Source organism: Homo sapiens, chromosome 9, assembly GCF_000001405.40.
Source record: "Homo sapiens chromosome 9, GRCh38.p14 Primary Assembly".
NCBI classification, from domain to species: domain Eukaryota; kingdom Metazoa; phylum Chordata; class Mammalia; order Primates; family Hominidae; genus Homo; species Homo sapiens.
The window spans coordinates 105,160,301-105,176,302 of NC_000009.12; the positions used below are offsets into that span (position 1 = coordinate 105,160,301).

At 43.4% G+C, this 16,002-nt stretch overlaps 1 annotated feature.

Annotated features, from left to right (window-relative positions):
- Positions 12,948 to 13,536: an enhancer, noted in NCBI's record as "OCT4-NANOG hESC enhancer chr9:107935529-107936117 (GRCh37/hg19 assembly coordinates)". NCBI's record gives its function as "activates a minimal SCP1, AML or CMV promoter by ChIP-STARR-seq in primed H9 embryonic stem cells {active_cell/tissue: H9 hESC(primed)}" and the evidence as "EXISTENCE:reporter gene assay evidence [ECO:0000049][PMID:30033119]".

A 16,002-nucleotide genomic window follows, 5' to 3' on the forward strand; every position in this document is an offset into this window, starting at 1 on the left:
ATTTACCCCAATGGTATTTAAAACTCTCAATAATATATCAACAAATCCTATGGCTTTCCAGTGGATTTGACAGGATGAATGAGTCTCAAGGAAATTGAATGACTGTACTTGTTAGATGGATTTGGGTTCTGTTTTGTTGTGATTGTTGTTTTGTGGGGGATTTTGTTATTTAAGTCAAATGAATTTGGGGAAATATCTGCCAATAATTATGATATTATCTTTGGAAGACTTTGCATTAAAAGTACTGACAATGGTTAATTACTCAGAACCAATTACTAGGGACATTCTTGGGCCATGACATTAAAACCATTTCATCAGCACCCAGGAGGACATTTACCCTCCTGTTCCAGGACAGCAGCCATCTATTTTTATCTACAGTTTCAGTTGATTAAGCTATAACACTATTTCTATCAATCCTGAATTCTTGAGGGGCATTAAAATGCAAGTTTTGTAGGAGCATCAATAATGCAGTGTCTCTACTGAACTCGTGCTACTTAGAGTGACAGGCCAATAGCAGGTCAATAAAGGCTACAGTCATATTTTTCTTGCCAGATTTCTGCACAAGATCATTCCACACAATGACCAATGTTGTTACCACTTCTGGGTTTCCTTTCCCCTTACTAGTTGTGGCCTCCCTGGACACCACACACATACACACACACACACACACACACACACACACACAGAGTCATCCACAAATTTGAGCTTCACCTCCAGGGTCTCACCTGATTATTTTACCTTCATATAGGATGTTGGCATCTTGTGACATGTTAACACCCACTCATAAGAATTGCAAAAGTTCCCAGATGATCTAGATGCTCCCAAAATCTTGGCACCAAGGTATTACTTAAATATGCAGGACTTCTACAGTGAGCGGCAATAAACAAGTACCAAAATCTATATATCAAATTTGGGACAAATAAAGAATTCCAGCTTGAATTACTCAGACAGTACAACTACCAGAAATAGAGAAATTCTAATTATCATAAGGTGACCTTATGCAGTGATTTTACACACACACACACACACACACACACACACAATGATATAAAAGTTATAAATGCACTATAGCTTAGCATATGATTGTAAACCTCTGACCTTTAAATTGAGTAAAATTTACCCCCAATCCTTTGAAAATCTTCGCATACTTCATCTTCAACAAATAATACAGTAAATGTGCATAAAGACCATTTGCTCTACATGTAAAATTCTGACCTAGAAACCCAGACAAACAGTTTTTTAAGAATGAGCATAACGCAAAGACAAGAACAGTACAGCAAACCACCATAAATTAAAATGGAATTTTGAGAACTAGAAGGTTTCCTTTTATAAAATTGAGTGGCCTCTGTTTTGAGTGTATTCAAATTGAATAGTACTAGTAGAGTTAACAATGAAAAAGTTTGATAAGAATCAGATCACTACCAACAAGAGACTTTGAAAAAAATACAGTAAAATGTTCGGGCGCGGTGGCTCACGCCTGTAATCCCAGCACTTTGGGAGGCAGAGGTGGGCAAATCACGAGGTCAGGAGATCGAGACCATGCCGGCTAATACGATGAAACCCCATCTCTACTAAAAATACAAAAAATTGGGCGTGGTGGTGGGCGCCTGTAGTCCCAGCTACTTGGGAGGCTGAGGCAGGAGAATGGCGTGAACCCGGGAGGTGGAGCTTGCAGTGAGCTGAGATCGCACCACTGCACTCCAGCCTGGGTGAGAGAGCGAGACTCCGTCTCAAAAAAAAAAAAAGAAAGAAAGAAAGAAAGAAAGAAAAGAAAAAATACAGTAAAATAAGAAAGACTTTTTTGTTGTTTTTTTTGTTAAGACAGAGGCTGGAGTGCAGTGGCACCATCTCAGCTCACTGAAATCTCTGCCTCCCCGGTTCAAGTGATTCTCCTGCTTCAGCCTCCCAAGTAGCTGGGATTACAGGCATGAGCCACCATGACCAACTAATTTTTGTATTTTTAGTAGAGACGAGGTTTCACCCTATTGATCAGGCTAGTCTCGAACTACTGACCTCAGGTGATCCACCCACCTCGGCCTCCCAAAGTGCTGGGATTACAGGCGTGAGCCACTGTGCCCAGCCAACACCTATTCAGATTTAAACGTGATGACTCCTGGAGTCACTCCCACTCCTTTCCCTTCAGCTATGTAGCATTCTTTGTTTGCATAAGGCAGAGACTAGAGACTGTTAGGCTCAACAACCTCACCAGTACAACAGTTCAAGTGTACTGCTAACGCAGATCAAATTTGAGTCCCAGTTAAACGTTCCAGGGAATCCAGCACTGAAGAGGAGGGTTTTATTCAGGAGTCTTTGGGTTCCAAGTGAAAAAAATCCAACTCAAACTAGCATGGGCAAAAACATGGTAGCCAAATTCAGAAAGAATGATAGCCAGCTGGGCCTCAAGGTAAGACTGGATTTAGGGACTCAAATACTCTTAGCCCTCCCTTTCTGTTTTCCATCTCTACTGCTCTGCTTTGTCAGCATCTCTTTCTCAAGCCACCTTTTTCCAGCAGGAGAATGGAAGGAAAAAATGACCCCAAGGAACTCTAGGCTTATAACCAGAAAGGAACCAAGGGCCCTTTCTCACCAGCTCTACTTAGGAATATTCTAGGGAAGCCACTGAAGTAGTAGCACAACCAGGCTTGTGCTTTTAAAAGATGCCCCTGACTGCTGCGTGGAGAATATACTGGGCAGAGGCACAAATGCAAGCCCCGCTTGACCCTGCTGTTCCTCGGTGAAATCCTCTCTTCTCCTGCCTTCTGCGACACAGCAACATTCCTGGTCTCTGGTAGAGGCTAAGAAGCCCTTTAGGTTCATTTCTGTTGTCACCACAGAACATCTCCTGGGTACTTCATTATTCCCCAGTTGCACTGGGGAAATAATTCAGAGTACTATGCTGATTCTGAAGCTGGAACTCAAGTGGAAAATTTACTCAGACTGATCCTCAATATCGCTTCTTTCGATAGGTAAATCCAAACCATATTGTTCCAACTACTTTTTCTCCTGAGGCTGCTGTTACTACTTAGTTCAAACATATCCATAGCTCCTCAAGTTTAGATTTAAATACAGACTTCTCAGGCTCTCCACAACACTTCCCTGATTTCGTTTTTCTAAGCAGTTTTTTTTTTCTTTTCGGAGATGGAGTCTTGCTTTGTCACCCAGGCTGGAGTGCAGTGGTGTGATCTTGGCTCACTGCAACCTCTGCCTCCTGGGTTCAAGCGATTCTCCTGTCTCAGCCTCTTGAGTAGCTGGGACTACAGGTGCCCGCCACCACACCTGGCTATTTTTTTTGTATTTTTAGCTGAGATGGGGTTTCACCATATTGACCAGGCTGGTCTCGAACTCCTGACCTTGTGATCCCACCTCAGCCTTCCAAAGTGCAGGGATTACAGGCATGAGCCACCGCACCTGGCCTTTTCATTTTTATTACCTAGATATGTGTGAACACCTTCTCATAGAAGACAAATTCAGAAGTATACAGAGAAAAAGGTGGCAGCTCGCCTTTAGCCTTCCCCATCCCCTCTCCAGAGGTGACCACTCTCAACTGTTTGGCAGGTATCTTTCCAGTCTATTTTCAATACATTTATCATATATATGTATGAAAATACAGATGTCTGTTTTTATAAATATGACAAAGATAAGGCAATATGTACTGTTCGGTCAGTTGCCAACTACTATAACATATATAGTATTATTACTTAACAATATACCTTTCCATTTCAGTATGTATAGGTCTATCTCATTCTTTGTAAGGACAAACTAGTATTCATCAGGTAGATGCATTGAAGTACAGATCTACAATCCCTTATATGCAATTTTAGATCCAAAACATTCTGAAAACTGAATGTTTTTGGTACATTTACAGCAAATTCGTCTGGTGGTAAAACCTGATCTGAACTGACATGAAGCTATTTAGAGTGTTTATTTATCCCACTTAGTGAATATTCATAATTTTCAATGCAAAAATAATAATGTGTTTCATTAGGGAGGTCTCCCCTAGACCCCACTAGTGTTGTATAATATACAACCCCAAATTCTGAATTATGAAACTTATCTTCCCCAAGAGCTTCAAATAAATGACTGTGGATCTATAGTTTTGGGATTGGGTATATATATATGCTTTCACTTTCTTGAGAAAAGCTTATGAAATATGTAAAACTACTACTAAAATAATTAATACTTATCAAATGCTTATTATATACCAAACATTATTCCAATACTTTCCATAAACTAAGTAATGCAATCTTCACAATACTGTCAATAAGTATTATTATGATCCCTATTTTATAGTTGAGAAAAACTGAGTCACAGAGAGACTGAGTAATTTATGCAATTTCTATAGCAGTTTACTAAGTCAAAACTGAATCTAAACCAGTCTGGCCCCTGAATGTGTGCAGTTCATCCATTGTGCCATTTTACCTTTATGCCCTCTGGGAATAATATAATAAATATCTAGTTAGATCTAAGCATTTTTCCCCATTTCTCTGACATCATTTAAAAAAAAATAAAACCTGGCTGGGCATGGTGGCTCATGCCTGGAATCCCAGCACTTTGGGAGGCCAAGGCGAGAGGATCACTTGAGGTCAGGAGCTTGAGACCAGCCTGGCCAACATGGTGAAACCCCATTTCTACTACAAATACAAAAATTAGCCAGGTGTGGTGGCACGTGCCTATGGTCCCGGCTACTTGAGAGGTTGAGGCACAAGAATTGCCTGAACCTGGGAGGCGGAGGTTGTAGTGAGCCAAGATCATGCCACTGCACTCCAGCCTGGGCGACAGAGTGAGACTCTGTCTCAAGAAAAACCAAGCCAGGCCGGGCACGGTGGCTCATGCCTGTAATTCCAGCACTTTGGGAGGCCGAGTTGGGTGGATCACAAGGTCAGGAGTTCAAGGCCAAGATGATGAAACCCCATCTCTACTAAAAATATAAAAATTAGCCAGGTGTGGTGGCGGATGCCTGTAATCCCAGCTACTCAGGAGGCTGAGGCAGAGAATTGCTTGAACCTGGGAGGCGGATGTTGCAGTGAGCCATGATCACACCACTGCACTCCAGTCTGGGCGACAGAGCAAGACTCCATCTCAAAAACAAACAAACAAAACAAAACAAAACAAACAGAAAACCCTACAAATACAGTTGAACCACCGTGTACTCCAACCGAATCCCATTCCCCTTCCTTCAGAGAGGTAACCACTGTCTTGAATTTGGAGTTTATTATTTTATGCATGTTGTTTAAATGTTTATTCAACAACATATAGTACTTTTTTGTATTTTAGAGCTTACATATAGCAGGAAGAGGGACATAATTGAAAAAAGGACATCAAATTCATAAAACAAGTTACTACTAATCACTAATATTCTGTTTCTTAACCTAGATGGTGTGGTGTGAGTATTCATTTAATGTTACTCTTTAAACTGCACATGTACTATCATTTTGTATTTTATACATACCATAATTTTAAGTTTTAAAGGAAGTTTAATATTCATATAAATAATATAATATTTTGTAAATGTTGAAAAAATTTAAATCCCTCATTGGCCTGGCTTGAATATGTTCCTACCCCTCAAGTCAATCACTGTGCCCAGAAGGGTGGATGCTTGTTAGCTAGATTAACTAACAAGCATCGTGTATCCATTCCTGTGGTCAGGGAGTGGGATTTATTATTCAAAGAAGGATAGGTTGGACAATGTTGGACAAACCAACAAATATAAAACAATGGCCATGGTGGGAGCCAGAAGTGTTGGAAAATATTAGAGAAGAAAAATGTCATCCAGACCCCCTTATTTAGAATGTCCATTACCTTCCCCACTGCTACCCAGATGGATATACTTTCTACCTGTCCCTTAAACATTAATTTTTAAATGAAAGCCAAGACTCTAAAAATTAGAAGAATAAAATAATCCAAACGAAGCTATTCTGGAAAAATAAAGAATGAAACTTCCCTCCCCATCACTTCACTCCCTCTACTCCACCCCAGACCACAGGGCAAGAGGATAGAGCCAGCCAGGCATAGTGGCTCATGCCTGTAATCCCAGCACTTTGGGAGGCCAAGGTGGGTGGATCACTTGAGGTCAGGAGTTTGAGACCAGCCTGGCCAACATGGTGGCCATCTCTACTAAATGGCCATCTCTACTAAAGTAGCCATGTGTGGTGTGTGCACACAAAAATTAGCCATGTGTGGTGGTGTGCGCCTGTAATCCCAGCAACTTGGGAGGCTGAGGCACAAGAATTGCTTGAACCTGGGAGGCAGAGGTTACAGTGAGACTCTGTCTAAAAAAAAAAAAAGAAAAGAAGAAGAGGATAGAACTTTGTTTATGCCCACACAAGCAAATTCAATGCTTTCACCTGGTCTTTGGGTAATCTTGGTAGTGGCCATCAGGTGGCATGTGGTTCTCTAATGGACCCAATTTATTATTTCTGGCAAGCTTGAGAAGAGACAAAGTCGTGAAAGCAGGAGGTGACTAATGAAAGACACTAATATTCCTCTACAAAATAATAAGAAAGATCAGCTCCACTGTGGGCAGTGGTGGATTTGCCAATCATGAAGCAGCTCATAAAACATGATACCCTTCTTTTTTGTAGGGTTGATCTGTACCTTGTTGCTTCCCCCAAAATGGAAGGAGATCAGGATGGTAAATATTTAAAGAAATAAACATATCTTAGGATGAGATCAAGAATAAGAACTGGTATTAAATGCCAAAGTACAATGCACCTCCCAATACTTTTCTCCAGAACTTAAGCTACCAATATAGTCACAGAAAGATCTGGACAACCATCATTCTTTTCCAATCCCATCTGATGCAAAGGCTTACTTTTGTGGCAAAGAATACAGAACGCATGCATTCTCAATTATCAGTTTAGGAAATGAGAAACCAACAGGTGCTCAGCCACCACGCTCATCACAGCAACACTTTTGCCCAAGCTCACTAATCATAGAAGTTCCTTCTCATCCCCTGGGAAGAATGAGTGAAGAAACACGAAAAATGCTCTACATGATTGTGGAGTAGAAATGTCTTCCCCTCTATAAAAACACAAGGATTGAGGAATAAATTGATCTCATCTCCCAAATCAACTGTAAATTTCTTAATATCAGGAAAATATGACTTATATTAACTTATGCATTGATCACAGTTCCCAGTGGAGAGCTGGGCATACAATAGACAATAAGCAAATTTGACGCAATTTGACCATTTGCATTAGTCAGGGGTCTCCAGAGAAACAGAACCAATAGGAGATAGTGTATTAGGCTGTTCTCACGTTGCTATAAGGACATAACCAAGACTGGGTAGTTTATAAAGGAAATAGGTTTAATTGACTCACAGTTTCAAAGGGCTTGGGAGGCCTCAGGAAACTTAAAATCATGGTGGAAGGGGAAGCAAGCACGTCCTTCTTCACATGGCAGCAGCAAGGAGAAGTGCTAAGCAAAAGTGGGAAAAGCCCGTTATAAAACCATCGGATCTTGTGAGAACTCACTCACTGCCACAAGAACAGCCTGAGGGTAATCGCCCACATGATTAAATTATCTCCTACTTGGTCTCTCCCATGACACGTGGGGATCACAATTCAAGATGAAATTTGGGTGGGAACACAGCAAACCATATCAGATAGTTGATAGATAGGATGGATGGATGGCTGGATAGATAGATAGATAATTATAAGTAATCGGCTCCCAGAATTTTGGGGGCTGAGAGCCCCAAAATCTGCAGTCCACAAGCTGGAGATGCAGATGAGCCGATGGTATAGTCCCAATCCAAGTCCAAAACCCTGAGAACAAGGAGACTCAATGCTTTAAGTATCTGTCTGAGTCTGAAGGCCTGAGAACTAGGAGAGTCAATGGTGTAAATACCAATCCAAAAGCCAGCAGGCTCAAGACCCAGGAAGAGCTGGTTTTTTAATTCAAGCCTGAAGACAGGAAAAGACTTATGTTCCAGCTCAAACAGTCAGGTAGGAGGAGCTCCCACTTCTTCAGACCTTTTGTCCTATTCAGGTCTTCAATTGATTAGGTGAGGCCCAGCAAATTAGGGATGGCAATCTGCTTTTTTTTTTTTTAGAGATCAGATCTCACTCTGTTACCCAGGCTAGAGTGCAAGTGGCATGATCATAGTTCACTGCAGCCTTGAACTCCCGGGCTCAAGTGATTCTCCCACCTTAGCCTCCTGAGTAGCTGGGGCTACAGGCACATGCCACCAAGCCCAAATAATTTTATTATTTTTTTAGAGACAGGATCTCACTATGTTGCCTAGGCTAGCCTTGAACTCCTGGCCCCAAGCAATCCTCCTGCTTCAGTTTCCCGAGTAGCTGGGATTAAGTCAAATGTTAATCTCATCCAAAAACACTCTCACAGACATGCCCAAAATAATGTTTGACCAAACACCTGGCTATCCTATGACCCAGTCAAGCTGACATGTAATTAATCATTACACTATTCTATACTCTGTGTGTATATGTGTGTGTGTGAGAGATGAAGACTAAATGTAATTTTAATGTATTCCAATTATACCTAATAGTTGAGCAGTGCTCTACAGTTTATAAAACATTTACATATACATTACCTCATTCAGTCTTCACAGCAGTCAGTATTATGAGTATGGAAAATGAGGCTCAAAGGGGTGGCATAACTTGTTCAAAGTCACACAGCTAATAAGAAGTAGAGTTGATACTTGATCCACGTGATCTGACTCAGATCCAATTCTGTCTGCATCATACCATAGCTGCTTTACTATTGCTATGTATTTGTTAAGCATTTTGACCTCCTTAAAGAAGAAAAGGCTGTTGCAAATGAAGTCTGCGGCAGCAGCTGTATCCCCAGCTGTCTGAAATGCCTCCACCAGGTTTGGCAACAGCTGTCTTAGCTTGACATCTCACTGGGCTTCTGTCAGAGCCCCACCTTAGGGAATGACAAGTTTAATAAAGAAAAATCCAACCTTCCCCCTGAACTCCTAGTTTTGCAGATGCAACTGACATCCGACAGGCTTGGAGGCCCTCACTGCAGGGAATGGTGTGACCCCAGCCTCCCAGCTCATAGATTATATGTTTGGCAGCTTTCTCTGCAATTGGTTGGCAACATTTGTGCCTTCTCCAGATCCTACTCCCTAGTCTCAATACTAATTTAGATGCAGTTCAAACAAACACTGAGTATTTCATATGTGCCAGGCACTGGGGATATATAAAAAGATGAGTAACACATCATTTCTGCCTCAGGGACACCCAAAGTCCTACAGAAGAGTTAGAAACTTTATATTGCCAGTATGTCTGTGGAGACAATACCATTACCATGGCAAATGGGCCCCTTTTGAACAGAGAAATTCTAAGGAGATTGCTCAAAAAGTTAAATACGGACTGGGTGCGGTGGCTCATGCCTGTAATCCCAGCACTTTGTGAGGCCAAGGTGGGCGGATCACGAGGTCAGGAGTTCAAGACCAGTCTGACCAACAGGGCGAAATCCCATCTCTACCAAAAATACAAAAAAATAGCTGGTCATGGTGCCGCGTGCCTGTGATCCCAACTACTTGGGAGGCTGAGGCACAAGAATCATTTGAACCCAAGAGGCGGAGGTTGCACTGAGCTAAGACCACACCACTGCACTCCAGCCTGGACTACAGAGTGAGACTCTGTCGCCAAAAAAAAAAAAAAAAAAAAGTTAAATACCATGTTGACAATTTCCTCTGGGAGGAACAAATTCAAATGCCATCAAGAATCTCAGAAGGGCAAGAGCTGTGGAAGGGGCACTTCGAAATCTCAAACAATAAACACCTTTGTTCATGGGTACATAGGTGTTTGTTATTTGAGAACTAGAACCTCATTTTTTATCCTACAAAACAAGACAGTGGTCAGCATGTCAAAGGCCACATGAAAGCATGATATGTTAGGGGACAAAAAAGCAAAGCCACATTATTTGGAGGACAGGGTACACAGAGGACAATGTCAGGAGGTGAGATTAGAAAAAAGGGTGGTGAAAGGGCTGGGTACAGTGGCTCATGCCTGTAATCCCAGCACTTTGGGAGGCCAAGGTGGGCGGATCACAAGGTCAGGAGTTCAAGACCAGCCTGGCCAATATGGTGAAACCTCATCTCTACTAAAAATAGAAAAAAAAAAAGCTGGGCGTGTTGGCACATGCCTGTAATCCCAGCTACTTGAGAGGCTGAGGCAGGAGAATTGCTTGAACCCGGGAGGTGGAGGTTGCAGTGAGCCAAGATCGCGCCACTGCACTCTAGCCTAGGTGACAGAGCGAGACTCCGTCTCAAAAAGAAAAAAAAAAAGGAAAGAAAGAAAAAGGAAAAAAAGGTGTGAAGAGGTTTCAATGTCATGCCAAAATGTTTAGAATATATCCTGAATGGAACCATAGAAGATTTATAAGTTGGAGCTGGGGTTAACATGTTTTGATAATGTGATTTAGAAAAGTGATGCTACTACTTAGCAGAGGAAACAGCCATTAGAGAATAGTCAGAGGGAATATTAAAATGTCCCAAGTGAGAGACGATGAGGGTCTTAATCAAGGGGGTGGAAATGGAAACAGGGGAAGGATTGGAAAGACCATTCAGAAGTGGAATAGTCAGCTCTGGGTAAGGAGAGGTGTACAATATCTAGTTATGTGGCAGGGTACTAGAGAAGGTATGAAAGAATCCAGAAAAAGAAGTGGAGAGGGAGAAGGTTCGAGAAGAAGTTGTGAAGTTTGGCTGGGGCTGGACATGCTCAGTGTGAAGGGTTTACAGACCTCCAAGTGAAGATCCTTAGTGGACAGACAGAAAGGATAGCCCAGGAAAATGGAGTGGGCTTACAGATTAAGCCATAGGAGTGAATGAGACCACTCAGGAAGGCAGCATAGAGAGAAAGAAGATGGTGAAGAACAAGGCCAACCCTCAGGAACACTGACATTTAAGAGCCAGACCAGGAGTCAAAAACTGGAAATGGAGAGCAGTCACAAGAGATAAAAGAACTAGGAGACAGCAATGGCAGATTGGCAAGAGTGAGCAATAGCAGCAAATGCTGCCAAGAGATTACAGAAGATTAGAAGTACGATGGAATCTCTAGATTCCTCTGGAATTTGAAAGGTCATTAGATTTAGAGAGAAAAAAAAAAACAGTAGGGGAATAGATCAAATAAGAGTGGCAAAATGTCCATCATTGTTGAAGCTGGATCACAGGTACATAGGTGTTTGTTATAATGCTGTCTCTACTTGTGCATATGTTTGAAATTTTTTCCAAATAACAAGTTGAAATTCTAAAAACTAACACATAAAAAAGATAAAATAAGATCTCATGACCAGCTTCTAAGATAAGGGTTTCAGTTTAAATAGCAAATGGGAAACAAATGGGGGTAGGGGCAGTTGGTCTCAAGTGTAGTATTTTGAACTTTTGCTGACAATGTGACATGGCTGTGGGGCTGGACTGGGCCCAGTGCTTGTATCATTCATTCAGTGTCAGTACAGGAAACAGCTGACACTCAAATTAGGATGGTTCCCTGAGGGCTTAGTAAAGGAAGTATTTATGGAGTAGAAGCAGAGTGTAGAGAAAGCACAAGGAGTCCTGCAGGGATGCCTGTGCTGGTAGCAGCGGATGTCACCAGCTTTCTCTCATGCTCTTGGTGGAATGCAGCCATGCGCATGTATTTCTCATGGGCATACAGGTTGAATGGCGGTCAGCTGGGGGCTCTGTTTCAAGCTGGTGTCTCCACCTGGGCTTGGCTCCTCTTTGTCGATCAAGCTCTGGGCTACTCCACATGTGTTCATTCTGGGCCCCAGACTAAAGAGGCAGCAGTTGCCCAGGGGAAGCTCTTCCTGTGAAGATGACAGGCACAAAAACAAAACAAAACAAAACAACCCCCATGCAATGGCTTTCCTCTTAATGCTAAGGCTTTTCCTAAAGGCTTAGGCTTGAAACTGGCGCAGATGGTTGGGTGTACCCACATCTCATGGGCCAAAGCTAGTCATAAAACCAAGCCCAAACGCAAGGGGCAATATATCCCTCCTTTTTGGCGGGGAGTAACTACAAAGTCACATTCAGGCAAAGAGCATGGAAACCAGGAGGGGTGAAGAATTAAGTCCAATAATTCATCTGCAGCACACTCTGAAAGCAAGGGAGGGAAGCCCGTAATAGAATCCAGAAAGTCATGAGAAGACCCCTTGAGAGAAGGCCTGACCTTCCATCTGGAAGAATGTGAAGAAATCCCACAGGGAGGATGCTAGGGGAATACATGTCCTGACTCCCTCAGGTCTTCTCTCCGGCTGCTCACTCCCCAAACCCAGCCAGAAGCCAAAAAGCAAAGAAGCCCTTTGATCCTTAAAGGTCAGGCTCCCGGGACAGGTAGCAGCCTGGAGAACAGCAAGAGTGAGTCTGTAGAGCCAAAAAGAGGATACAGGCCCACGCACACAGTTCATAGTAAGCAGATGAGCTGGGACATGAATTCTGGCAGTTTGCTCAGAATCCACGCTCTTGATGACTATAACGTAACATCCTCCTTTCTAATCCCTGCTTGGGGGTCCCACTTCAATTTTTTTTTCTTTTTCTTTTTTTGTTTTTTTGAGACAGAGTCTTACTCTGATGCCCAGGCTGGAGCTCAATCTTGGCTCATGGCAACCTCCACCTCCCAGGTTCAAGCAATTCTCATGCCTCAGCCTCCTGAATAGCTGGGACTACAGGCAAGCGCCACCACACCTGGCTAATTTTTATATTTTTAGTAGAGGTGGGGTTTCGCCATGTTTTGGCCAGGCTGTTCTTGAACTCCTGGCCTCAAGTGATCTGCTTGCCTCGGCTTCCCAAAGTGCTGGGATTACAGGCGTCAGCCACTGCGCCCGGCCCCACTTAAATTTTTTGTGGCCTAATAAAGCAGGTGAGCCCTGATTTTAGGCTCTGGACATACAAAACTTAGAATTTAGTTTCAGGGGCTCATTCTCTCCACCCCATAGAAAGTATTCTTTGCTTATAAAAGAACTTACTGCTACTAGAGCAGGACCAAGTGAGGGTGGTGTACAGGCTAATAGCAGAGACTCAGTGTGTGAACAAAACCCTCACCTCCCTCCAGGTCCAGCCCAGGAAAATGGGGAACCTGTGGGATCAGAAGTTGCAGATGATCCTACAGGTGGCCTGGACCGCTACCTGGGCTTCTGATCCAGGGGGAAGGGCAGTGCACCAAGAGAGAGGCTTTTCCGCCCACAAGAGACACAGCTGGAGGTGGAAACAGGCAATTAAGACTGATTGTCTGACTCAGCAATCAAATTAGGCTGTGACAGCTATTGATAGTCAAGAGGAGGCAGGTTGCCTGTGGGAGTTGAGAACAGGCAATCAGTGCAGATTGACGCTTGAGAGGATCTGGGAGCAGATTGTGTCCGAGGGCTCTGGGGAGCCACCTCCCAAAAGGGAACACTTTGCTGAGACCCACCAACACTCTCCTGGTAGGCTATAAGGAAGCTCTCAATGTTTGTGCTGATTGTGTTTCTTGGAGACAAATTAATGGCAAATGAAGCCAAAGTAATAATAATTAGCAGCATTTTTTTTAAAGCAGTAAGTTGTTCTTTTATGAGCAAAAAATCCTTTCTTTGCTTATAAGCATGGAAAGGATGAGCCCCTCAAACTAAATTCTAAGTTTTGTATGTCCAGAACCTAAAAGAAGGACTCTCTTTATTAGGCCACAAAAAATTGAAGTAGGACCCCAAGCAGGCAATAGAAAGGAGGATGTTGCATTATAGTTGTCAAGAGCGTGGATTCTGAGCAAACTGCCAGAATTCACATCCCAGCTCAGCTGCTTGCTGTGAACTGTGTGCGTGAGTTCAGGCAAGCTACGTGCCAATGTGTCCTTAGTTTCTGCATTTGTAAAATGGAAGCAATACCATACAGCCTAGAGTTGTGGATTTAATGAGTTAATAGATGTGAGCACTTAGTAGTGTTGTACACATAATGATATTCGAAGGTTAGTTCTTATTATTGGCCCCAGTAAGCAGACTCAGGGACAATCCCCTGTCCCACATTCAGGCAGCATCCCTACCTTCTACCACTGCACCCTGTGTCACAGTTGGGAGCCTGGGAAGAGAGCGGTCCAGCCCTCTACCTGAGCCTAACTTTCAACTTGATCTTACCCCAGCACTGAATACAACTGAGACAGGATTGCTCTCATCACCTAAGGCTAGAATCCGGGGGAAATTTCCTTTCTCAGTGAGTGCCCTGACCATTCCATCCACCATTGACTCAAGTTGATGAGAACAATTAAAGGAAGAGGTGCTAGCTGCAGAAGGAAATCAGTAGTTTAATGAAAGGCAAAACAAGCCTACTAGAAAGACCAGTCCAAACCAAAAGAAGGAATTGACAAAGGCAGCTTAGCTTCTTACCATGGTGCTTCAGGAGTTATTGAGTCCCCCGTCTCCCTGAAGTTTCTGTCCCTGGGTGGTGTCTCTCTCTTCCTTCACTTTTTTTTTGTTTGTTTTTTTGAGCAGATTCTCACTCTGTCGTCCAGGCTGGAATGCAGTGACGCGATCTCAGCTCACTACAACCTCCGCCTCCCAGGTTCAAACGATTCTCCTGCCTCAGCCTCCTGAGTAGCTAGGACTACAGGCCTGCACCACCACGCCTGGCTAATTTTTATACTTTCAGTAGACATGGGGGTTCATCACGTTGGCCAGACTGCTCTCGAACTCCTGAGCTCAAGTGATCCACCCACCTTGGCCTCCCAAAGTACTGGGATTACAGGCGTGAGCCACCGTGCCTGGCCTCTTCCTTTACTTCTTTTCTTTCCCTCTCCCTCTCGCTCTCACTTCTTTCTTTCTCCTTCACTTTCCCTCTATCCTTTCTCCCTCAGCTTCCTCACTCTCTTTTTAAAACCTGCTTTATGACAGTTTTTACATGTGTTTTGCCCTTGGTTGTCTGTGGATCCATAGCTCTCAGTACAAATACAAGGGTTTTTTTTTTTTTTGCCTTTCAGTTAGGACAGCTGGGATCTATTTCACTAGCTCCATCACTAATCCCCTGTATAATGGTCAGCAATAATAACAGCAAACACATGTTACAGTCAATGCACATCACTGTGGCCAGGTGCGGTGGCTCACTCCTGTAGTCTCAGTGGGTGGATCACCTGAGGTCAGGAGTTCAAGACCAGCCTGGCCAACATGGCAAAAGCCCATCTCTACTAAAAATACAACAATTAGCTGGGTGTAGTGGCATGCACCTGTAATCCCAGCTACTCGGGAGGCTGAGGCAGGAGATTCACTTGATCCTGGGAGGCGGAGTTTCCAGTGAGCCGATATTACTCCATTGCACTCCAGCCTGGGCAACAAGACTCTGTCTCAGAAAAAAAAAATGTGCATCACTGCATCACTCGCCCTTCTAAGTTCTTTATGTGTAATAATAACTCAGTTGTCAGGACATCCCACAAGGGGGTCTTTTATTATCATTATCATCACCTGTAGTAAACCAGATGACTATTCACCAAATACTTTGGGTTCCCTTCTTCAGAATTCTTGCTGGTAGGAGGTTTAAACCATCTCCACCCTGTCGAACAGAGGAGTGACCCCATGACTTTCTTTGGCCAATAAAAGTCATAAAGGGTGATGTGACACTTCCAAACAAGAAGGATTAAAAATCAGTGAGTGCTTGGCCGTGTTCTCCTTTCCTATGCCACGATGACTGGCAGTGTCCCAGCTAGTGGTGGCTCTGTCTGAGGATGAAGAATGCTTGGAATGGGCTGGATGCGGTGGCTCACACCTGTAATCCCAGCAATTTGGAAGGCTGAGGCAGGCAGATCACCTGAGGTCAGGAGTTCAAGACCAGCCTGGTCAACATGGTGAAACCCCATCTCTACTAAAAATACAAAAATTAGCTAGGCTTGGTGGCAGGTGCCTGTAATCCCAGCTACTTGAGAGGCTGAGGCAGGAGAATCGCTTGAACCTGGGAGGCAGAGGTTGCAGTGAGCCGAGACCATGCCATTGCACTCCAGCCTAGGCAACAAGAGCGAAACTCCATTTCAAAAAAAAAAAAAAAAGAAAGCTTGGTATGGAGCCATGGCCAACTCATGAAGC